Raw genomic sequence first — 24,787 nt, 5'->3', positions numbered from 1 at the left:
TTTGAAATACCTCTTGTGTGTTTTCCTACATAGTTATTTTTAGACAGTTTATACGTTTGGGGTATATGCTGAAATTGCTAAGCATTGAACAGAAGGAAACTTTATAAGCCTTACCTGTTTGCCAGGGTAGCATTCAACATCGTGTTATATATACGATGATCAAATTATTTCCCATTCAAGCCAGAGCACTGTAACAGGGAAAGGAGACTCTATTATTAATTATGCCAGTTTAATAGTCATAAGCCAAGACTGTTCTGGGCAAACTGGAATCTATAGTCATCTTATTTGTACTTGATTATTTCCTTTACAATATTTAATCGAAACCAAATCACTTTACAAAATCAGGGAAGTAGGGGTGGAGATGGGAGTAGAAGCTGTATGATACTTCAAAACTGGTATCCTATCAGTATGAATTTTGATGTCACTGAAGAGCACATAGATACCACATCTAAAAGGAAGGTTACATTTTAGAAATTAGAGATGAATGTCAAGGTAATAATAATAGCTGACATTATTGATTTCTTACATGCCTTTTCTCCTTTATGCTTCAGCAGCCCTATGAAGAGACTACTGGTATTATTCTCATTTGGGTGTTCTTACAAAGATTAACCAAAAATAAAAATCTAAGCACGTCTAATTCTAAAGCCTATGCATACTTTTAACTATAACACTATACTGCCTTCCTCTGGACATACTCTGTATCTCTGTGATTATCTTTTTTTTTAAATACAGTCAGTTACACTACCTCTATGTAGAAAACAAGGTGGTAAAGGGACTCTTTCCCCCAGCGTGGCACTGCTGAGCCATGGCTTCGTGCTTTGTTGCCAGCTCAAGCCATTCTGAAAGGGTTCACTGGTGGGAGGAAAGTAGAACTACCACAGTATTGCTTCACCAATTCTGTTTTCATTGTCAAGTGCATAGTGGTATGACTGGTCTAGTGTGCTGATGACAGGATTTTAAATACACACAATCATCAGATCTTAGTACTTCTTAGTCATGCAGTTATAGAAGTCTTGCACCATGTAATCAAAGGAAAAAGCAGCCCTTCGTACATGTTTTCTTTGCAGGCCTGTGCCTTTTTTAAAGTAATATTTGTCATTAAGTGCATTTATAAACTAAACTTCTATTAGCTTCCTCTGTATGAGTGAGGATAATGCACTTTTTAAAGATTCGGAGTAGTTTACATGGCATATTTTTGTGGGATGACCTATTATAATTATGTACTGTGTGCCATGTCCTCTGCTAGTTGCTTTTCAGTTTGTTCATTTAGTACTCAAAATAATCCTATGACTTACGGGGATTTGTCATCTCCCATGACATTCACCTGATAAAGCTGAAGTACAGAAAAATAATTTACTCAAAGTATCATTACTAGAAGTGGCAGAGCATGGACTTGAACCCAGGGAATCTGACTCCACCGTCCTTGAATTTAACTATTGCACTTAACTTCCGAAGCTTCTACTTTCAAAATAGAAATTGTGAATGCAGATTAGAGGTGTGAACTGCAGGTAACAGGAGAGTTGAATGTCATACTCATCTGAATTTCCTGCTGGGCAGTTTGGTCTTCACATTTTATCTACTGAAGTGTGTGTATTTCATTATAATCACTAGAGGTGCTAGTGCCTAAGATAACAGAATCAAGGTTTTAGTGTTACACCAAAGATGGTATTTGTTCTCTTAGTAGCATTCTGTTGGGATAGACTTGTCCAAAAGAATCTTCAGGAAAAATAATACAAAGTAGTCTCTGACCTTAACAGAAAAGACTGCCAAACCCAGAGTTGACTGATAAGTCATCTACAGGGCACACTTGTAACCAGGTGGGCTTGGATAGCACAGGACAGAGTACCATGAAATGGAGAATATGCAGGCAGAAGTGTAAAGTGATAGGAGAGGTTTGTGATAAAATATTTTAGTTTATTAAACCACATAAAAACTGCACTGAAGTAGAAGCACTGAATGCAATTATGATCTGCTTAATGAAATTATGAAAAGGTACCAGCATTTTATACTTTTCAAGCCTTTGAAACAACTTAATCTGAAATTTTAACTAAAGGAGCTCTAGAGGGAGCTAATCTATTTATATACATGTATTTTTTTTAAAGGCATCTCAAACCTCAACTCTGCTATTAACCGGAGTGATGATTCATTCATGCTCATACGGTAGTAATGATCCTTGGATTTATAAACGTACAGTAGTGTCAGATCCTAATCTGATGCAAATATGTGTTATCTGATTTTCTTTTCAGAATATTATTTCCTGTACAAGTAATTCACATGCTGTAACCCTCACAGTACATATGTGTAACACATGTCATAATTTAAAAAGAAAGTAATGGCTTTTGCTGATAGAAGACTTTAAAATATTTTTTCAAAAACACATTTGAAACATGTGATATATCCAAACATAGCTATGGGTCTGCACGCACATATATACATCCCTACCCCAACCCACACTGGCTCTTTTAGGAATTCCCTTGGACTTTAAAATATAAGAAGTAATTATTCTGAGTGTCATGGCTGCCAGGCTACAAATACAGGAAAATGAAATTATGCATCAGCTTCTTTTAGGTTAGGGTGAAGCCATCCCAATTTAGAGTTTCTTTCTCCTTTAGGTTGGGAGATTGAATTGAGTTGGATTTACAATTCCCATAACCCAAGGCCCTGGATTAGAGATATGCCAAAGACTTCATGGCAGAGCATCCCTATAACATCAACATCTCCCTGCCTTCAAAGTAAATTAAGGCATCTCTCTACCTTAATTCAGTATAAGTTAAATTAAATCATAATTCAATTTGGCAGAAGTAAAGGAATCTTTGTGTTTTCCTTTGCGGAAAGTCATTTATGGTGGAGTTCTGGAAGAAATGAAATCCAGAGAAATGCTAAAACAGTTTTTAAGCACAAAAAGGAAATTGAAGAATGCTTAGGATGACATGAAGCATTTGAATTTGGCCAGGTATCTGTGAAGACAGTAGGCAGGTACATCATTTGAGGACCTTAGAGAAAGCATGGTGCGGTAAATTAGGTGGACAGAAAAGGTCTGCAGGATTTCTGGAGGGAAATGGTAGCAGCCCTGTGGAAGGCCTGCACTGCACACGGAAGGGAGCAGAGGTAGCCTTGCTGCCTCCGGCCCTCCCGCACCTCCCTTTGGTCCTCTGGTCTTCATCTCACCGAATGAATACTCCTATTATACTCAGACGAACTCATCCGTCTTGTCACTGTTAGTTAATTTTTTAACTCTTACTCTGCAAGAAAAAATAATGATAAACAGGATTTCCCCCCCTCAATTTCAGCCCCATCAACAATGTTAATAGTAATATGAACTTGCATACAGATGGCATATGCTTTTAATCTGTTCAAAGTACTGTACTTGATATTTAGTAGCTTAAACTTTTGCCAGACTAGGAGCATGCCACATAGTGAAGGAAAGAACAGATTAATTATGTTTAAGCTCAAGTGAAAACACTATGAGTGGATAAATGGGTAGAATTAAGGAAACAAAACTATCAGGTAACAGGGCCACATTTTTTTGTTAATGCTGAAATCATCAATATGATTTATAGGAATATCTAATTTTCCCTCTTACCCTAGACATTATTTATTTTAGAACTGTAATAATTTTAAAGTGCTATTGTCAGTTTCTCCTCCTGGCTGATTTCTATCTTGGCATGAATTTTAGAATTTCAACATTCCTTACTGATCTGGATCTTTTTACCATTTAAAAAAATGTCCAAGTGAATGAAATGCTGTATATATGAAAAGGGAATTAATCAAATGAGTTTATTTATGTAAGAGTGTTATGTATTACTGAGAAGTAGACCTCGTGTAATACAGATGAAAGAACATGACATATATCCAAGGTCAAGTCACAGTTTTATCACTTTGTGTCTGGGTGGCCTTTAACTGGTTTCTTAAACTGTCTCAGTTTACTTATCCACAAATAGGGAAAATAAACAAGTTTTGCCTACATTTCCATATTATTTGAGAGTAAAATGAGAATTAATTTGTATTTTATTTTGAAATTTGGAAACTGCTATTCAGATTAAAATAAATATTATACACAGACAAAAGCAATATTTTAATTGTAACTTTACAATGTATATCCTATTAAGCCATGGAACTTTAGGATGTTGATGTCCGAGGTATCAAAATTTGTCATCACTTCTATCCAACACTTGATACCACACTGAAGATATTATAACAAAAATGGTATGGATGTTGACCTTAAGTGTAATTATTCAAAGGGATCTCTTACTGGATATTTCATAATTCAAGAATATATGGAGACATTTAGATCACATGGTCTTATCTTTTTTACAGACTAAGATTCCTTTGAGAATCTCAAAGTTAAAGATCTTCTCCTCAAAAAAATATTCATATGCCCATGTAGAAAGCATTTTACAAGGAATTTCAAGTTGTTTAATATCAATGGATCCTAATTAAATACTGCCATGTCCACCTTAGATTGTTATATAGAAGGACTTTGATGATATGGCTTTCCTCCCTTTCAGAGAGGGTTTTCCAGACTATTATGGTCTTCTGTTATAGACCATATTATAGAAGGTTTTTTCCTGCCCAGCTGTGCTTCTACTCATTCCTTGCTTTGGCTATATTTCATCTAAGGTCTGTCTCTTAAGCAAACCTGATTCTGTCTCCCTGCACCATTGCCTGTCTCCAGTATTTTTCATCAGTACTCATTCACAGTGGAAGAAGTAAGGGGGGACTGTGACCCAGACTAATAAATGCAAGAAGCAGAGGGTCTGGACAGAAATGGCAGTTGCAAGTAGTTCCAGGACTACTAAATTAGGCTGCAGCAAGGATGGAACAGAGGTAAATAGTCCAAAAAGTTAGACTGTTAACATATTCACTTATTCACAATTCTACTAATCCTAAACAGTCAAATATTGGAAATTCTTTGCTACTGGGTTAATTTGTAAACCGCTCTTCAGTAAGATCTTCTGGAATTTGGCCATTCCTCACCTGTAATAATAAAATATGAAAGTGATTTTTAAAGTGTAAAATGCTATAACAGTGTAAGAGAGTATCATATTGGATTATAATGTGACAGTGTGATGTGATGATAAATTGCGTGTTATCACTTCCACTGTATGAAACGTCAGCCAGAAAGACAGACTACAGATATTTTCCTCTAGTAGTCCCTCTAACAACTCTGTATTTTTCCATCTTGTAGAATTTTAATCCCCAGGTTTTCTACTTTAACACTAACTCCTCACCAATTCATTACTTTATTGTATCTCATTTCACAAATGGCTCTCAAGATTTAGTGTCTTCAGATGCTGTCTTAAATACATCTGCATATGTTAACAACAACCACAACAAAATCCGAGTCAAATATTTTAAAACGCAAACATATCCTTAGAATACCAGAAAGGCATGTTCTTATTTTGTACTTCAGCAACAATTGGTCTAGATCTCTAAAAGTGTTACCATTTAGAAAATGAGAATAAGGACGTATAATTTCTTCATAAGCCAGTTGGATTCAATATTGTGGAATTTGGGGTTTTATCATCTAATGTTGGTTTAAACTTTTATATGCTAGTGCCAATGTGATCCAATGATAATCTATTTGTAAAATAAAATCTAGAAGAAGGTAGCATACTAGTTAATAATTCATGTGAAGTATTAAATTAGAGTATTATTTTATGCTTTTAAAAGTATTATTGGTATTGCAGGATAAATTTTTGCAGCAATATTATGATGTTGGTAACCAATATTGATTTTAAGATTTTTATATTATATAAGCAGAAAACACAGGGCACAAAGACTTGAGGTGCAGAAATGTTGCTGAGGCAGCATTAACAGTGAGTTGGGTTCCCATTAGGTAGTATTCATTGAGACAGCATGTACATATGCTGGGCTTAAAAAAAATTAAGAGAGAGACATTTTAAATTCAGAACGCCAACAGGCATCCTTTGGTATCATAAGCATGGTGTGCAGTGTTCTTTCTCTGTATGAGCTTTCATCGCCATTCAGAATTCTCTTTTTTGAAGTGCACTATTATATTTTTGATAGACAATTCATAGAAATTAACAGCAAATGATAAAGAAATTGTTCTTTTTTTCAATAAAAGAATTTAGAGGGAGAAAAGACATTTGAAGCAAAAAAAAGAACATTATTATGAAATGCAAGGTTAGTATTTATGATATTTTAACTGCAATTTTTATAGCTTTCTTACATTTATTACACCAAATTAGGGCCACTAGTGTAGTAGATTAAAACCTTTTTTCATTTCTTTTGATGTAGAAATTTTAGCTTTTAATTTCTTTATCTGGCAGACCACTGATGAATTCATCGGTATCTCCAAGCCAAGCAAATCTTTTTTTGTTATTTTAGAAGCTATTTTGTTTTGTAGAAATAGCATTCTATAGGAAGAAGTTATTATAAAATATAATGTTTGCCAACATAAAGAAATATGCTGGAAAGCAAAATTAATAGGCTTTGAATGAAAAATATCTTTGTGGGCATTTAAAACACCAAGGAATTACAAGGCCATGGTGAAGAGCAGGCTAGTTAAATTGGAAAAGTCAAAGCAAGATATCTTTCTTTACTGATGTGCCATCTACTGAAAATTAGTAGAAGTTAGTCCTAAGTAGCTAACAGTGAACCCCGGGTACTAACTTCCCTGAAGCACTGAAATAGGAAGTGGTGGAAGAAACTTGTAAAAGAAACCCTCAGGGATTCCCCTGTGATCCCTTTAATCCTCGAATCGTCAAACCACATGGAAAATAATAGAGCTGCGTAGTTCTAAGACTTAAGTGGTATTTTTTTAAATGAAATATTAGGTCTTTTCACATCTCTGGACAAGAATAGGGTGTGTGTTCAATGCAAAAAAAGAGTAACTTTGAACCAGAGATGCATATTGCTTTTTCATTGTTAATATAATATTATTGTTATCTCTGACTAAGCAGGCTGCACCCAGTAGGAAAAACAATTATAGCCAATATTTTATTTTCCTTTTTTAAAACAGATGATTCAACGAGAAGCCGATGTAAAAAATAAGGTAACTGCTGTGGCATTGACAGACTCTGTTCACAATGTGTGGCATCAAGAAGCTGGCAAAACGATTCGAGAATGGATGAGAGAGGTGAGACTTGGTTTTTTTTAGTGCTGAGATGAATGGGTGTGAGCCTTTATATCTTGAGCCCCCACCAACCTGTAACACCTCCCATCCTCAAACTCCCTTTCTAGAGGCAGAACATTGAGAGGAAATAGAAAAAGCTAGACATGTTTAAAATAATAATAGAAAACCCATGTGAAGACCTAATATTTTTGAAAGCTCCCCTCCCTTCTTTTTGGTTTTCTATAGAACACTATATGTGTATAGTGTTCAATCTATGGTAGGAACTTTGGCTGAAAAAGGTCATGGAGTTAGGAGATTCTTATTCCCTGTTGCTTAATTTTTCCACCAGTTATTTAGCATTGGTGCTATTTAGTTACAAGAAAGACGCATAAGGTACACTTAGTCTCCTTTTCTTCTTGAAAAGGCAGTCAGTATGTGCCACTCTTAAATGGATTGGCTGACTACATCCAGTAGAGGGAAGAGAAGAAAAAAGCTGAAATACTGTTATGCCAGACCCTTGAGCTAAGAGAAACCCAGGGGCTAGCCATGGTTCAGCCTCAGGCTAAGAAAGCTTCTTTTCACACTTCCTAAGGGCTGGTGAACCTGAAAACTAACAAGGATTCATTGAATATGCTCCCATTATTACTATTTTTTAACTTTCAGCCTGTTATATTTTTTGTTCCTATGACAGATATCCAGCTGAAATTTTCTTTTATTTTTATTTATCTTTCTGATATTCTAAGCAGTTGGCATCAGCCACCCCGTGCCATAGTAATTGTTTAATCAAATCATTTACTTATATAGTATGAATGAGCTGATTGACCTTCCTGGTTTTCTTCCAGTTTTTCTTAATAGAATACCTAGTGGCTCTTCAGCTGACACCATAGGACTGTGTGGTGGGTAAATTCTACCAGCCTTCATGGTACACTGTAAGGACCACAGAGTTAATGTTTGAAGAGATAGAAAAATTAGGCTATATAATTTCATAGTAGCATTATATTATCACCAGTCTGTTATCACTTGTTTTTCTGCATTAGAAAAAGTACTTTCATCATACAAAAGTCTAAAATATTTTTATTCCAGTCCTCTTAATACTATAAACATGTAAAGATGGGTTTTTAAAATCTTTTCTAACATGTAGGTGTTTGATGACCATATAGAAAGCTCCTAGCATTATATAAATAGTAAGGTTAATAAATGAGCTGTTAGTAACTTTTCCCCGCTCACATAACTAGTATGGAATTTGATACTTGGCTCAAACTAAAAACTTCCTTACTCATGAGTTTTTCATTCCAGATGACAAATATAATAAAATTTATTTAGGTTTACTTTTTAAGTATTTCTAACTAAGGCTGGATTAGGTGTTCCTTTCAAAAATCAGAATATATTAATCTGTGTAGCTTCCATCTAATTGACTAGACAGCAGTTGAATTCATCATAATTTAATCAAGCCTGCCATTAATTTCTTTGCAAGCATAGCTTTTGTAAAATTTATAAAATTTTATAAATGCCCTAGTTCTTGGATAGTTCTCTCAGTTCCCTCAATTAAGCCTTAGGGAAGCAATTTGAAGAGTTTTGTATTTTGACCTATCAAAATTGAAATCCCAGCTCAATCACTTATATAACTTTGTAGTTTTAAGCAAGTTATTTTATCTCTTTGAGATTCAATTTTCTCATCTGTAAACTATAATACCTACCTTGCAAACATGTTGGAAAATAACGTATGTAAAGAAATAGCACAGTTCTTGGCACTTTAAAAAAGTTCGGTAAGTTATAGCTGTTGTTGTTACAGTCTCACTCCCAAATAATATAAAACACATAAACTGTATTCATCTTTTGTTTTTATGAATGGTTTGCCTATTCAAAATATCTTACAAAGGGAAACGGGGTGACATACTGGAAGTAATTCAGAACAAGCATATGGGAGAACTAAATTTTGATAATGACTCTGGCTAGGTAAATCAATAATTAAGAATCTAGCATGTACCAGCTAATTTGCTAAGATTTATAATCCTGGAAAAGCCACTTCATCTTTTTGGGTCTGTTTCATAATTGAATTGGAGACAATAATTCCTATTTCATCTACTTCATGAAATATTGTGAGAACCAAAGGTGATAATCAAGGATGAAAGCTCTTTGAAAAGCAAATGGTACTATATAAAGAAATGAGATGTGTTATCATTGAAAACACTATAATATCTCAGAGATTTAAATTATTAGATCATGCCTGATGGAGCTTTGAAATTACCCCTATTCAGTGATCTTCTCCAAAACGAGAACAAAAAGAGAGACTGTAAAAGAGTATGACAGGTATCCTTGTAGGAACCTACCTAAATGTGTGACCTCTTGTAGAGAAGATTACAGTGTGGGTTGGCAAGATAAGAGTCCAGTGTTTCCAAACTCTCAGGATGAAACTTCCTCCCCTTTTCTTTCTCCTTTCTTATTTCCTATCCCCTCTGCAAGACTCCTTGAAATAACGAAGAGAAACAAACCTGGATTACAGGAAAGGGCTGTTGTCTTAAGCATGGGTGTTGGAAAGTTTTTTGTTTTGTAAGTATGTTTAAGTATGTTTAAATTAATGTGATACATGTAAGTGGCCAATAAACATATGAAAAAATGCTCGACATCACTAATCATCAGAGAAATGCAAATTAAAACCAAAATGAGATACCATCTCACACCAATCAGAATGGCTACTATTTAAAAAAAAAAAAAACAGATGTTGGCAAGGAAAAGGGGATTCATATACACTGTTGGTGGGAATGTAAATTAGTACAGCCTCTGTGGAAAACAGTATGGAGATTTCTCAAAGAGCTAAAGATAGAAGTACTATTTGATCCAGCAGTGTCACTACTGGGTATCTACCCGAAGCAAAATAAGTCATTTTACCAAAAAGACATCTATACTGGTATGTTTATCGCAGTGCTATTCATGATAGCAAAGTCTTGGAATCAACCTAAGCATCCATCAAAGGATGACTGGATAAAGAAAATGTGGTACATATCTAAATATATGTATATAGATATATATACTGTGGAATACTACTCAGCCATTAAAATGAATGAAATTATATCTTACAGCAACATGGATGGAACTGGAGGCCATTATCTTAACTGAAATCACTCAGAAACAGAAAGTCAAATACCACATGTTCTCACTTCTAAGTGGGAGCTAAACTATGGGTACATATGGACATACAAAGTAGAATAATAGACATTGGAGACTCCAAAAGGTGGAAGGTGGAAGATGAAGGATGAGAACTTACCTATTGAGTACGATGTACACTATTTGGGTGACAGTTACACTAAAAGCCCAGACTTTACTACTATGCAGTATATCCATGTAATAAAAATGCACTTGAAACCCCTAAATCTATAAAAAAAAGAAAGGATGTGATAAAGTTACTGATGTTATGTATCCATTTTATAAAAAGCTAATTTTTAAACCTACCAATTTAGCACACAGAACAAAGGTTAAGTAATATATTATTGTATTACTTGTGTAATTTCTAAATATTAGTAACAGTTTCCTTTAAAGAAAGAAGGTCAGGCCAGGCGTGGTGGCTCACACCGGTAATCCCAACATGTTGGGAGGCCAAGGCAGGTGGATCATCTGAGGTCAAGGGTTCAATCCAGCCTGGACAACATGGTGAAACCTCGTCTCTACTGAAGATACAAAAATTAGCCAGGCGTGGTGGCAGGCGCCCGTAATCCCAGCTACTCAAGAGGCTGAGGCAGGAGAATCACTTGAACCCAGGAGGTGGAGGTTGCAGTGAGCTGAGATCATGCCATTACACTCCTGCCTGGCCAACAGAGCAGAAGCTCCAAAAGAAAGAAAGAGAGAAAGAGAGGGAGGGGAGGGGAGGGGAGGAGATGGGAGAAAGAGAGAAAGAGAAAGAAAGGTCAAAGAGTAGTATACTTTGAGCAATTACTCCAAGTGAAACCTATCCTGAACTAAAAGACCACGCATAGATGCTAAGCCAGCCTCTTGAGGAGAGAGAGGTAAAAGGTAAATGAAGGCAGCTCCTGAATTACTTCTTACTTCAAACCCCAGGACTGTCTAGGCTGAGTGGGCAAATGTTTCCCAACATACCCCTGGCCTCTGAAATTCTCCAGCCACACCAGATGTGCGGCTCTACATAATAGTTGTGAACCCTTCCTATCACCATTCAACTCTGAGTGTAGGGCTTTAGAAACTTGACCTAGTGAACCATAGTTGTATTTGTCCGAGGACACAAAACCTTTCACATTAAAAATCAGCCTTTAAAGCAATGGCGATTTACAACTCAGACAAATGCAATAAAAATGAATAAAAATCAAGCCTCAACCAAGGTAGTAAGCATCTCCAAATACCTCCAGACACCTTGCACAGGAATAGCTACTACCTGCTTTTCTCTTTAAATATAATATACTAAATTGTAATGTTTTTATTTAAAAAAAGTTATTTCAAACCTACTCTGAAATATTGTTGACCCTTGGTTCAAATGTCAAAGGGAATCACTCAGCACTGGGGCCTGTAGGCATTTCTAATCCATATCAATAGCTCCCCAAATTTTGGATGTTACAAAAAGGAAAATTTACAACCACAAAAATCTATAGGATCATCATTTTAGGGTAAAAAAATGTTTAAACTGAAAACACTTAGCTTTAAGAAATACTTTCTACATTACCTATTTTTCTCTTTTTCCTTCAGACCCAGAGAAACATTAGTCATGCGATCTGTCCCTATCTGCCCGCCCTGGCCAAGGACTTCTTTCTCTATGCTTGTTTGTTGGGACTAGGGGAGGCTGCATCTGAGACTCAAGCATGGCACTATTGGTACCTTGAGTTCAACATACCTTGTTGCCTATTCAGGGGACCTGAGAATAAATCTCAGGGGCTGCTAACCCTGTCCAGCATGTTTTGAATTTAGATAGGGCTTTCCTAGTGGGCTGCCTGCATCACTACTCGGAACACTTTGGTAGTGTTCATCTCAACTAAAAATTGGGATGGGGACAAACGGGGGCCTTGAAAAAAGGGACACGTAAGTATTAGAAAAGCACCAAAAGACACTTGACTTCTAAACTATAGTAACACATTTCAGAATAGGGAGTTAGATTTGATAAAATAACATTTCAGACAGATTGAATTTAGATATAATAGCTGTATGTCTTTCTTTGCATATGTTTATTTTATTTCATTATGCTCTATCATATAGCAAACATTTAACTTGTTTTGCCCTTTTTTCTATATACTTTTTGGGGTAAAAATGCCACATGCCCCTGCACGTGCGCGCGCGCGCGCACACACACACACACACACACACACACACACACACTCTGAAATGACCATATCAAATCTGTATAGTTCTGCACAGGTACTTGGTCATTGCAGAGAACTTTTGGACATACTCACTTTAATTATAGGATGTTAAACTTCTGTCCAGTTTTTATGAGAGATCAAAGCCTTAAACATGTGGCTAGATAAAAACTGAAATTTTACAAACATAAAATGTTAACTTATATTTTGCTTTAAGTGTTTGAGTTAAAGGTGAGCTGAGCAAACTGGACAAAAGTTCATTTTGTTCAGCTTTTTAAAGTAACAATTTAGAAAATGATTAATCCTCTGCATACTGTAATGTGCCATCACTTATATTAATACTAGAAAATCCTATAAGACATAGTTTTACATATGTGAAGTGTAGGTGAGCAGTAGGAAGACCGACATATCACCTGGTTAATAGCTGACTTTCATCAGATTTGGAGGTACTAGTTGGATGAATAATAATTAAAATACATACAGTACCTAATCGCTGCCTGTCTGTCGGTAGTGCTAATTGCTGTCATTGAAAAGACTGAATTGTTTAAAAAAAAGAGAGAGAAAGAGAAAGTCATTCTTCATTGAAGCTATCTCCCTGTATCATTGGGAGCCTATTTTTAGTACCTATAGAAGTCATGATTTTTGAATTTATTAGGGGCTGTGATGAATGATAAAACAAATCATCCATTTACATATCTTGACACTGCTTTGGAGAATACTTATTTCTTACAAGCAAGTGTCACATTGTATATAAAAGCTGGCTAATTGTGTGCTAATCTTCTGCATTATCTAGAACTCTCTGATGTGGTATTCTATCAATGGTAATATTAATTTTACTTATTTCAAATGTATGAAATATCTTCTAAAACCCTATTTCTTTTATAGTTTCTACTCTTACATTGTGTAATTTTGCATTCAACTGCTAATTAAGATTAGGAGAGCACATTATAGAATATGTATCCATTTTAAACCATCAAGCTTTTGTAATGCATGAAAAATACTAATATTTTATCCATTTTAAATGTAAAAAGAGAGAAAGTATTTAAGAACATTACTAGATGTTATGTTTGTTTTCATGTTTTTTTTCCTACACAGTTCAATAGTTTCATTGATCTACTGTTTCTTACAAAAATCTGCCATGCTTTGTGAACTTCACTTTCTAATCTCATACAGCAACCCTTCCTTTATGTTATTCCTGCTCTCCCTGGTCCCAGAACAGTAGGGTTGCCTTGACAAATCTATTCAAAAGCCATTCCTCGGCCTTTATTGGTGAGGACTGGGGCCTTTGAAATTCTCTCCTCACTGCAACACAGCTGACATCTTCTTCCAGACAGAATGAATTAAGGAAATACAATAAGACACTTGATCTACCAGTCAAGGATCTTTCCACAGTGAGGACGGATTCCATGGTGCACAACCAGGGAAGCAAGCATCTAAAAATACACAATACATGCTTGTTTACCAGAATAGCAATCAGCGATTTTGGCAAAATGATTGATGGGATGATTTCTTTAAAAAAAAAAAATCTGTCTGGAAATTCATTGTGTGTGTGAGAGTGTGTATGTGTGTGTGTGTTGAGACATTTTTTAGAAACCATATGATGATAATCACATATTTTTAGCCAGACTTCAAATACAGACTTAAAATGTATAAAAGGAATATAGATTATTTTATTTATCTGAATTGTAAATCGTTACCTTACATCGTTACTATTAAAAATTACCTATTTTTTAATATTGGAGGCTTTGTGTCCATATACACACAGCTACAACTCACCAGATGGTGATTTTTTTTTATTATTATTATACTTTAAGTTTTAGGGTACATGTGCACAATGTGCAGGTTAGTTACATATGTATACATGTGACATGCTGGTGTGCCGCACCCACTAACTCATCATCTAGCATTAGGTATATCTCCCAATGCTATCCCTGCCCCCTCCCCCCACCCCACAACAGTCCCCAGAGTGTGATGTTCCCCTTCCTGTGTCCATGTTCTTTACAACTATTTTGATACAGCCTTCATTAAAGCAGGTCAAAGTAAAAATTTAAAAATAGTATTTTTATATGGGTCAGATTTTGAGGAGTAAATACAAAATTCATTTCTTGTGGTATTACACAAAGAATATAGTTTAAAAATTGGCTATTCTTTCTTGAATATTCACATTAATATTTATTTTAATCTGAAAGTCAAAAATGGATACTTTTTTATTTTCCCTTAATTATAGTACCTTTATTTGTTTACTGCTTGGCCATCTAAACTTCACTTGGAAATATATTGCATCATGGTTCATGGAAGGTTACATGTCATCTATTTTATTTATTTATTTTTTGAGACGGGGTCTCCCTCTGTCACCCAGGCTGGAGTGCAATGGCACGCTCTCAGCTCACTGCAACCTCTGCCTCCTGGGTTCAAGCCATTCTTCTGCCTCAGCCTCCCAAGTAACTGGGACTACAGGCATGCACCACCACGCCAGGCTAATTTTTGTATTTTTAGTAGAGAAGGAGTTTCACCATGTTGGCCACGCTGGTCTCGAACTCCTGACCTCAAGTGATCTGCCCACCTCGGCCTCCCAAAGTGCTGGGATTTCAGGTGCGAGCTACCGCGCCCTGCCCTTACATGTCATCTTAATATCAGCACAGATGATTTGTTGAATAGTAAAACGAACAAACAAAAGGACCTTTTTCAGAGTCATGTTAATTATGAATAATTACCGACTGTTTACATAAGAAAAAAATGTTAAGTGTATGGAAAATAAATTGAATACACTCTAGTGGTTGATTTTATAGGATAAATTAAACTCTCCCTAAAAATTCCATCTTGGCTTAAATTGTATTTCAACAATATTGTCTCTATTACATTGCAGAACTGTTGTAATTGGGTCTCTAGCTCAGAACCATTAGACACATCAGTGGAGTCCATGCTACCTGATTGCCCCCGGGTCTCAGCAGGTATGTGTTTGATGAGAGATATATGATTGCTGTTGTTTTTCAGGGTGAAAAATATGCTAATGAAATGTAGAATTCTGTTTTGTGAATTAGTTTGTTTTTATCTTTGAGTTGTTAGATGAATTATTGGTAATGTTATGCATGGGTAGAATCCACTATCACATATTTGTTAAGTAGCTTAAAATGCTTACCAACAAACTCAGTAAGATGAATAGGTGAAACAATTCAAGAGTAGTATAGACAACTGCTGTTGAAGCTTAGAGAGATAAGACATACATATATGAATACCTAAACAACAAGGATTGGGCAGACATACAAGATCTTTCATAGGATATGTGTCTCTGAGTTCCAACTCAATGATATGACAGGCAGTCAAGGATGTTGTGTGTCCTAGAGACCTTAGAAAAAAATACTTCATGCAAAGATTTTAGTTGGTTCTTGTGTTAGATAGACTCTGGACTGTGGGAAAACATGCAAGATGGCATCCTGTGCAAAGGAGACAGAGCAATTTAAGGAGCAACAGCAGGAATGGATCTGAAGATGTTCACAGGGAACAAAGGCAAGACTGGACTGCCTATTGAAAGGGAAGAGGTGAAGAGATGAGCAGGTTAGGAGCAGTTGGGCTCTAGGAAGTTTAAGGATAGCACTGATTTCCAGCCTAAAGGCTTTGTATTTGAGTCACTAGGTAAGAAGAGAGAGTGACATTTGTTAGCTTTCTGGTTTTGACTTTCACAGTTCTCAGCCAAGTGAGCAGTGGCATCTCGTTATAACTGATAGCAGAAATGGGTTTGCTGTGGCCATGGGTGCTGGAGAATGGGTAAAAGTTTGGAACACAAACTACTTTATGTTAACAATCACAAGTGATAGCTAATCACTGAGTACTTAAAGTTGAAAATATGTGTACATATTTGAAGAAAATAATTTGGAGAATAGTTCAGATTCTAGGTATAGAACTATTGTTATAATTAAACGTCACTGTCATTAATACCTAAACTTCAACTGAGCTTCACTATCATTACAGCTGAATTTTATAAGTCTATAAGCCAGGGTTCAACCACAGAGACAGAACCACTAGAAGATGTATATGCTACTATACACACACACAGAGACAGACATATACACACATATACTCATGCACATATGTATATATGTGTGTGTTCCTAAATATTATACAATTGATTTTCATTATTTATGCTAGTTATATAATGTGAAGTCACTGAAAACACTGAATTAGCAAATAATCATTGCTCCTAGATGAAATACAAGGCCAGGTTCCTGTGAGCTTCTGGTCACATTTTTGTCAGCCAATCAATATGTAAACTTGGTTTATGTGTGTTTCTGTTTAATGACACCTTATTTAATATATATTGTTGATTCATTAACATTGAGCTCATGGCCAGCAGCACTGTAACTCAGGCCTGAATGAAGCTAACACATATTTTCTCCATAAGGCATATCACAGCCTTCTTGTGCTTAGCAACACTTCACAGCACTTCAGCACTACATTTGGGGGCTATTGTAAACAGTGAAACCAAAAAAAAGGCACAAAACTAGAAAAATGTGGCACTAAATAGTCTATAAAAAGGATACTTGTTTACAATGTAAGAACTGAAACAAGAAGGCAGAACATGACCTTGTTCAACCTTAATTAAGAATGGATGACTCAAATTTTTCACCATTCTGCCCATGAGTAGCACTTTTAATTTCCTCAAGAATTTTTCCTTTGCATTCACTACTTGGCTAACTGTTTAGTGCAAGAAGCCTAAATTTCAGCCCATCTTGGCTTTTGACACGCATGTCATCCTAAGCGGAATCATTTTTAGCTTTTGATTTAAAGTGAGAGATATGCAACTCTTCCTTTCATCTGAATTCTTGAAGGCCGTTGGAGAGTTAGTCATTGGCCTCATTTCAATATTACTGTGTTTCAAGGAACAGGGAGGCCCCAGGAGAGGGATAGGGACAGGAGAACTGCTCAGTTGGTGGTGCAGTCAGAACACCTTTATCAATTAAGTTCACCGTCTTCTATGGGTACAGTTTGTGGCACCTCAAAACAATTACAGTAGTAACATTCAAGATGACTGATCAAGGCCGAGTATGGTGGCTCATACCTGTAATTCCAGTACTTTGGGAGGCCAAGGTAAGAGGATTGTTCAGAGCCAGGAGTTTGATACCAGCCCAGGCTACAAAGCAAGACCTTGTCTGTCTCTCCAAAAAAAATTTTTTAATATTAGCCAAGTATGGTGGTGCACACCTACAGTCCCAGCTATTCAGGAGGCTGAGGCAAGAGGATCACGTGGGCCTAAGAGTTCAAAGCTACAGTGAGCCAGTGAGCTATGATTGTACTACTGTACCCCAACTTAGAAGACAGAACAAGACCCCATCTCTAATCACAGATTACCATAACATATGGTAATCATGGAAAAGTTTATTAGCACAGGGAGACACAAAGTGAGCACATGCTGTTGGAAAAATGGCTCCTATAGACTTGCTTGATGCAGTGTTGCCAGAAAACTTGAATTGGTTAAAAAAAAATCAGTATCTGTGAAGTGCAGTAAACTGAAGCACAATAAAATGAGGTGTGCTTTGTTCTCAGCAAGCACTATAGTTGGTCAAGACTCTTTGCCTGGTGAAATGATCCACACTTTCATTCTCGAAGAGTTTGGGCCATTAGCGTCCTGCCTGAATTAGGTGATCATAGTATGCTATTGCCTTTAGTTACAGAAACTACTTACAGGTACTCTGGAGCATTTCCTGCATTGCAGAGATACTACTTATTACCCATTGTGTAGTAGCAACTACGTTTTCCTTTGGAAATCAGGATTTATCACCCATCCAGTATAGTGCTCCCATCCAGTACATCCATGTCCTGTTGATTCAGTGGCATAAGGAGACCAAAGTGGCAACATTGCAGTCTCAACTTCCAGTTCAAAGGAATTATTATTATGTCACCTAATGGAAACATATCTCCTTTTTGGAACTAAGACCTTTAGACCAGCAGAGTCTGAAGTAATGGGCATGGGAAGCAAGACCTCTACTAGTGGATCACTAAAGTTAGAGGGAAAAGAAGGCAGTCCCATATCTATGCCTTTATTCCCAGAATTGGGGTAAATAGCAACATATATTAAATGCTGATTTAGAGAAAAGTCCATATTTGCAGGATATTGTCCAGCCACACAAGGTGTTGTCACCTAGCAGTCACAGCTGAGTCTTCAAAAGGTCATTCCAGCATTCTGTCAAGCCTGCTGCTTAAGGATAATGGGGAACGTGGTAAGAGCAGTGAATGATGGCAGACCTCAGGCTCTCTCTTGTCCTCTAGCTTGCTCACTGTGATGGAAACCAGCTGCCAGGTTGTAAGCTGCCCTGTGGAGAGGCCCACATGGCAAGGAACTGGTATATCAGGCCAAAAGCCAGGGAGGACCTGAGGTCCACCAACAGCCATGTGAGTGACCTTGGAAGAAGATTCTCCCCCAGTTGAGCTCTTTGAGATGACTGCAACCCCAGCCAACACCTTGATTGTAGTCTTGTGAGAAACCCTGAGCTAATATCACTCAGCTGTGTTCAGATTTCTGACCCACAAAAACTGTGAGATGATAAATGTATATTGTTTTAAGCTGCCAAATTTTGGGGTTATTTGTTCCACAGCAGTAGATAATTAATGCAACAGGCTTAAACTTCTTTTTTTTTAAATTTTTTTATTTTATTATTATTATACTTTAAGTTTTAGGGTACATGTGCACAATGTGCAGATTAGTTACATATGTATACATGTGCCATGCTGGTGTGCTGCACCCATTAACTCGTCATTTAGCATTAGGTATATCTCCTAAAGCTATCCCTCCCCGCTCCACCCACCCCACAACAGTCCCCAGAGTGTGTTGTTCCCCTTCCTGTGTCCATGTGTTCTCATTGTTCAATTCCCACCTATGAGTGAGAACATGCAGTGTTTGGTTTTTTGTTCTTGCGATAGTTTACTGAGAATGATGATTTCCAATTTCATCCATGTCCCTACAAAGGACATGAACTCATCATTTTTTACGGCTGCATAGTATTCCATGGTGTATTTGTGCCACATTTTCTTAATCCAGTCTATCATTGTTGGACATTTGGGTTGGTTCCAAGTCTTTGCTATTGTGAATAGTGCCACAGTAAACATACGTGTGCATGTGTCTTTATAGCAGCATGATTTATAGTCCTTTTGGTATATACCCAGTAATGGGATGGCTGGGTCAAATGGTATTTCTAGCTCTAGATCCCTGAGGAATCACCACACTGACTTCCACAAAGGTTGAACTAGTTTACAGTCCCAACAACAGTGTAAAAGTGTTCCTATTTCTCCACATCCTCTCCAGCACCTGTTGTTTCCTGACTTTTTAATGATTGCCATTCTAACTGGTATGAGATGGTATCCCATTGTGGTTTTCATTTGCATTTCTCTGATGGCCAGTGATGGTGAGCATTTTTTCATGTGTTTTTTGGCTGCATAAATGTCTTCTTTTGAGAAGTGTCTGTTCATATCCTTTGCCCACTTTTTGATGGGTGTGTCTGTTTTTCTCTTGTAAGTTTGTTTGAGTTCATTATAGATTCTGGATATTAGCCCTTTGTCAGATGAGTAGGTTGCGAAAATTTTCTCCCATTTTGTAGGTTGCCTGTTCACTCTGATGGTAGTTTCTTTTGCTGTGCAGAAGCTCTTTAGTTTAATTAGATCCCATTTGTCAATTTTGGCTTTTGTTGCCATTGCTTTTGGTGTTTTAGACATGAAGTCCTTGCCCATGCCTATGTCCTGAATGGTATTGCCTAGGTTTTCTTCTAGGGTTTTTATGGTTTTAGGTCTAACGTTTAAGTCTTTAATCCATCTTGACTTAATTTTTGTATAAGGTGTAAGGAAGGGATCCAGTTTCAGCTTTCTACATATGGCTAGCCAGTTTTCCCAGCACCATTTATTAAATAGGGAATCCTTTCCCCATTGCTTGTTTTTCTCAGGTTTGTCAAAGATCAGATAGTTGTAGATATGCGGCGTTATTTCTGAGGGCTCTGTTCTGTTTCATTGATCTGTTTCTCTGTTTTGATACCAGTACCATGCTGTTTTGGTTAGTGTAGCCTTGTAGTATAGTTTGAAGTCAGGTAGTGTGATGCCTCCAGCTTTGTTTTTTTTGGCTTAGGATTAACTTGGCGATGTGGGCTCTTTTTTGGTTCCATATGAACTTTAAAGTAGTTTTTTCCAATTCTGTGAAGAAAGTCATTGGTAGCTTGATGGGGATGGCATTGAATCTATAAATTACCTTGGGCAGTATGGCCACTTTCATGATATTGATTCTTCCTACCCATGAGCATGGAATGTTCTTCCATTTGTTTGTATCCTCTTTTATTTCATTGAGCAGTGTTTTGTAGTTCTCCTTGAAGAGGTCCTTCACGTCCCTTGTAAGTTGGATTCCTAGGTATTTTATTCTCTTTGAAGCAATTGTGAATGGGAGTTCACTCATGATTTGGCTCTGTGTCTGTTATTGGTGTATAAGAATGCTTGAGATTTTTGTACATTGATTTTGTATCCTGAGACTTTGCTGAAGTTGCTTATCAGCTTAAGGAGATTTTGGGCTGAGACAATGGGGTTTTCTAGATATACAATCATGTCATCTGCAAACAGGGACAGTTTGACTTCCTCTTTTCCTAATTGAATACCCTTTATTTCCTTCTCCTGCCTAATTGCCCTGGCCAGAACTTCCAACACTATGTTGAATAGGAGTGGTGAGAGGGGGCATCCCTGTCTTGTGCCAGTTTTCAAAGGGAATGCTTCCAGTTTTTTCCCATTCAGTATGATATTGGCTGTGGGTTTGTCATAGATAGCTCTTATTATTTTGAGATACGTCCCATCAATACCTAATTTATTGAGAGTTTTTAGCATGAAGGGTTGTTGAATTTTGTCCAGGCTTAAACTTCAACTCAGGTGGTTGCACAGCAGGTGGTTGCACAGCCTGAGTAAAAACAACCTTAACCTTTTATTGAGACTAAAGCCTTGTAAGGCTCATCTTAGCCCTGATACCTTCGGGTTTAAGAGCATCTATTTCTAAAGATGCACTAAAATGCTCATTGAAGACAATTTGTTCCTACCCTTGCTCCCCTACTAACTGATTAGACTTTGCTGTATAATTTATCAGAAAGAAGATATTAAATTACTTTATCATACTTGATCTTATACTAAGTTACTTTTATTATTCAGCTCTCCTCTGACCATTTCTTTCCTTAAGACAGAACTTGCTACTGAGTGTAACTTTTCATTCCCTGTGGGATTTTGTTCTAACAAATTTGGCCTAAATCAGAAGGAAATTGTACATACATTCCCCAGCACATATCCATTTATCACTAAAGTATTTATTGACATTTACTGTGTTCCAGGCACTGTTCTGGAAGCTGGAGACATAGCAGTGAACAAGAGCTCATCATGACCATCTTGTTCTCCATAATTTTAAAAAAGAATGAATTGCTTTCTGGGCCTGTGCTAGTGAAAAGGTTCTTCCTTTAGAAGCTGGCATCAACATTAGGTTGCATCAAATAAGAAGAGAGTTAGGACCAGCACCCCCAGCATTTCCTATACCTACTTATAAAAACTTACCACTTCTTCAGCCTGACTTAATGCTTTCCCTCAGAGTCCATAAAAAATGTTGAAAAAGATTAATTGTTCAACATTCATTGATTGAGGTGATGGCAGGAAATTCAAATAGAAACAACCAAAGGTTGATGAAGTACCTTTGAAACGCCGGAATTTCTCTGATCAATAATTTCTGTTATATGTAATTTAAAATGTTAATATTATTTGAAGATTTCAACATGTGTACTGACCACAAATTAGTAATGGATCTTCAGGCTGTATATTCAATTTAATGAAGTGTTTTTTCCAGCTTGCTAAATTGTAAAGTTGTTTTTCTTGTTATAATGTGCTTTGATCTTTTGACTAAAAGTTTCACAGTGATAGCAGTGAAATTGCCTATAAACATACACGCTTATTTAATACTGTAGTTTTTCCTTTATAACTAGATTTGCTTCCCATTACAAAAAAAGTATGTGTTGTTCATAATAATTTCATTTTATGAATGTTACTTACCCGTTTATATATAATTTAAAAGCAGATATAAAATTTAAAATTTTAACTTAAAATATCACTGTATATTTAGCATAGTTATATTGTTTTTGTTTTTCCTTTTTTTTTAGTTTTATTTTAGCAGAGACATGGTCTCACACTGGTGCCCAAGATGGCCTTGTTGTTCATTATTAACATGTAGGGAGGGCCAAGCATAGTGGCTCATACCTGTACTCTCAGCATTTTGGGAGGCCAAAGCTCAAGGATCATTTGAGGCCAGGAGTTTGAGACCAGCCTGGATGACATAGCAAGACCTCATCTCCACTAAATAAATGTTTTTAATTAGCCAGGCATGGTGGCGTGAGCCTGTAGTCCTCGCTACTTGGGTGGCTGAGGTGGGAGGATTGCCTAAACCCAGGAGTTTAAGGCTGCAGTGAGCTGTGATCTTACCACTGCATTCCAGATATATCTCCACCATCCACTAAATACATATATATACACACACACACACATAGTATATATGTATATATAGTGTATAAATGTATACGCTATATATAGTGTATATATATGTATGTATATACACTATATATAGCGTATACTTTTATATACATATATATATATATATAGTGGATATTTGAGGGGTCTTGCATCTATGTCAGGTGACTGGTTTCCCACTTCCTTTTATTTAGAGTGTTTTCTTTTTGTTGTTGTTGGCTTCTAAAGACCAATTCTGTTTTTTTTTCCCATAGGTTATTGGGGTACAGGTAGTATTTGGTTACATGAGTAAGTTCTTTAGTGGTGATTAGTGAGGTTTTGGTGCACCCATCACCTGAGCAGTATACACTGCACCATATTTGTAGTATTTTATCCCTTGCACCACTCCCACTCTTCCCCCCCAAGTCCCCAAAGTCCATTATATCATTCTTATGCTATTACGTCCTCATACCTTAGCTCCCACATATCAGTGAGAACATATGATACTTGGTTTTCCATTCCTGAGTTACTTCACTTGGAATAATAGTCTCCAATCTCATCCAGGTTGGTGCAAATGCTGTTAATTCATTCCTTTTTTTTTTTTTTTTTTTTTTTTTTTTTTGAGATGGAGTCTAGCTCTGTTGCCCAGGCTGGAGTGCAATGGCGTGATCTTGGCTCACTGCAAGCTCCGCCTCCCGAGTTCAGGCCATTCTCCTGCCTCAGCCTCCCGAGTAGCTGGGACTACAGGTGCCCGCCACCACGCTCAGCTAATTTTTTGTATTTTTAGTAGAGACGGGGTTTTGCCGTGTTAGCCAGGATGGTCTCCATCTCCTGACCTCGTGATCCACCCATCTCGGCCTCCCAAAGTCCTGGGATTACAGACGTGAGCCAACGTGCCCGGCCTAATTCATTCCTTTTTATGGCTGAGTAGTATTCCATTGTATGTATATATATACACACCACAGTTTCTTAACTCGTTAATTTATGGGCATTTGGGTTGGTTCCACGATTTTGCAATTGTCAGTTGTGCTACTTAAACGTGTGTGCAAGTATCTTTTTCATATAATGACTTCTTTTCCTCTGGGTAGATACCCAGGAGTGGGATTCCTGGATCAAATGGTAGTTCTACTTTTAGTTCTTTAAGGAATCTCCACATTGTTTTCCATAGTGGCTGTACATTCCCACCAGCAGTGTAGAAGTGCTCCCTCATCACCACATCCACACCAACACCTACTGTTTTTTAATTTTTGTATCATGGCCGTTCTTGCAGGAGTAAGGTGATACCACATTGTGGTTTTGATTTGCATTTCCCTGATAATTAGTGATATTGAGCATTTTCTCATATGTTTGTTGGCCATTTGTATATCTTCTTTTGAGAATTGTCTATTCATATCCTTAGCCCCCTTGTTGATGGGATTTTTTCTTTATTATACTTTAAGTTTTAAGGTACATGTGCACAACGTGCAGGTTAGTTACATGTGTATACATGTGCCATGTTGGTGTGCTGCACCCAGTAACTCGTCATTTAACATTAGATATATCTCCAAATGCTATCCCTCCCCCCTCCCCCCAACCCACAACAGGCCCCGGTGTGTGATGTTCCCCTTCCTGTGTCCATGTGTTCTCATTGTTCAATGCCCACCTATGAGTGAGAACATGCGGTGTTTGGTTTTTTGTCCTTGCGAGAGTTTGCTGAGAATAATGGTTTCCATCGTCATCCATGTCCCTACAGAGGACATGAACTCATCCTGTTTTATGGCTGCATGGTATTCCATGGTGTATATGTGCCACATTTTCTTAATCCAGTCTATCATTGTTGGACATTTGGGTTGGTTCCAAGTCTTTGCTATTGTGAATAGTGCTGCAGTAAACATACACGTGCATGTGTCTTTATAGCAGCATGATTTATAATCCTTTG

General features: G+C 36.9%; 1 protein-coding gene across 29 annotated transcripts in view; it reads left to right on the top strand.

The window, feature by feature from the left end:
• The window catches only part of ARB2A (ARB2 cotranscriptional regulator A), a 493,975-nt gene that overhangs the window by 320,215 nt on the left and 148,973 nt on the right, over nt 1–24,787 (top strand). For 24 of the 29 annotated variants that reach the window (NR_028080.1, NM_001163418.1, XM_005272110.4 and 21 more), the window contains 2 exons: nt 6,986–7,102; nt 15,242–15,326. Coding sequence is in view for 27 of the 29 variants with exons in the window: in NM_001163418.1 (NP_001156890.1) it covers nt 6,986–7,102; nt 15,242–15,326 (202 nt within the window). In the remaining 2 variants the exon portion in view is untranslated. Of the gene's footprint in view, nt 1–6,985; nt 7,103–9,541; nt 9,629–15,241; nt 15,327–18,639; nt 18,943–21,713; nt 22,427–24,787 lie in introns of those variants that run through there. The other 5 variants (XM_047417816.1, XM_011543670.4, XR_007058646.1 and 2 more) reach the window with 4 other exon arrangements.

This window comes from Homo sapiens, chromosome 5 (genome assembly GCF_000001405.40).
Source record: "Homo sapiens chromosome 5, GRCh38.p14 Primary Assembly".
NCBI classification, from domain to species: Eukaryota; Metazoa; Chordata; class Mammalia; order Primates; family Hominidae; genus Homo; species Homo sapiens.
This window is presented reverse-complemented; position numbering and strand designations above follow the sequence as displayed.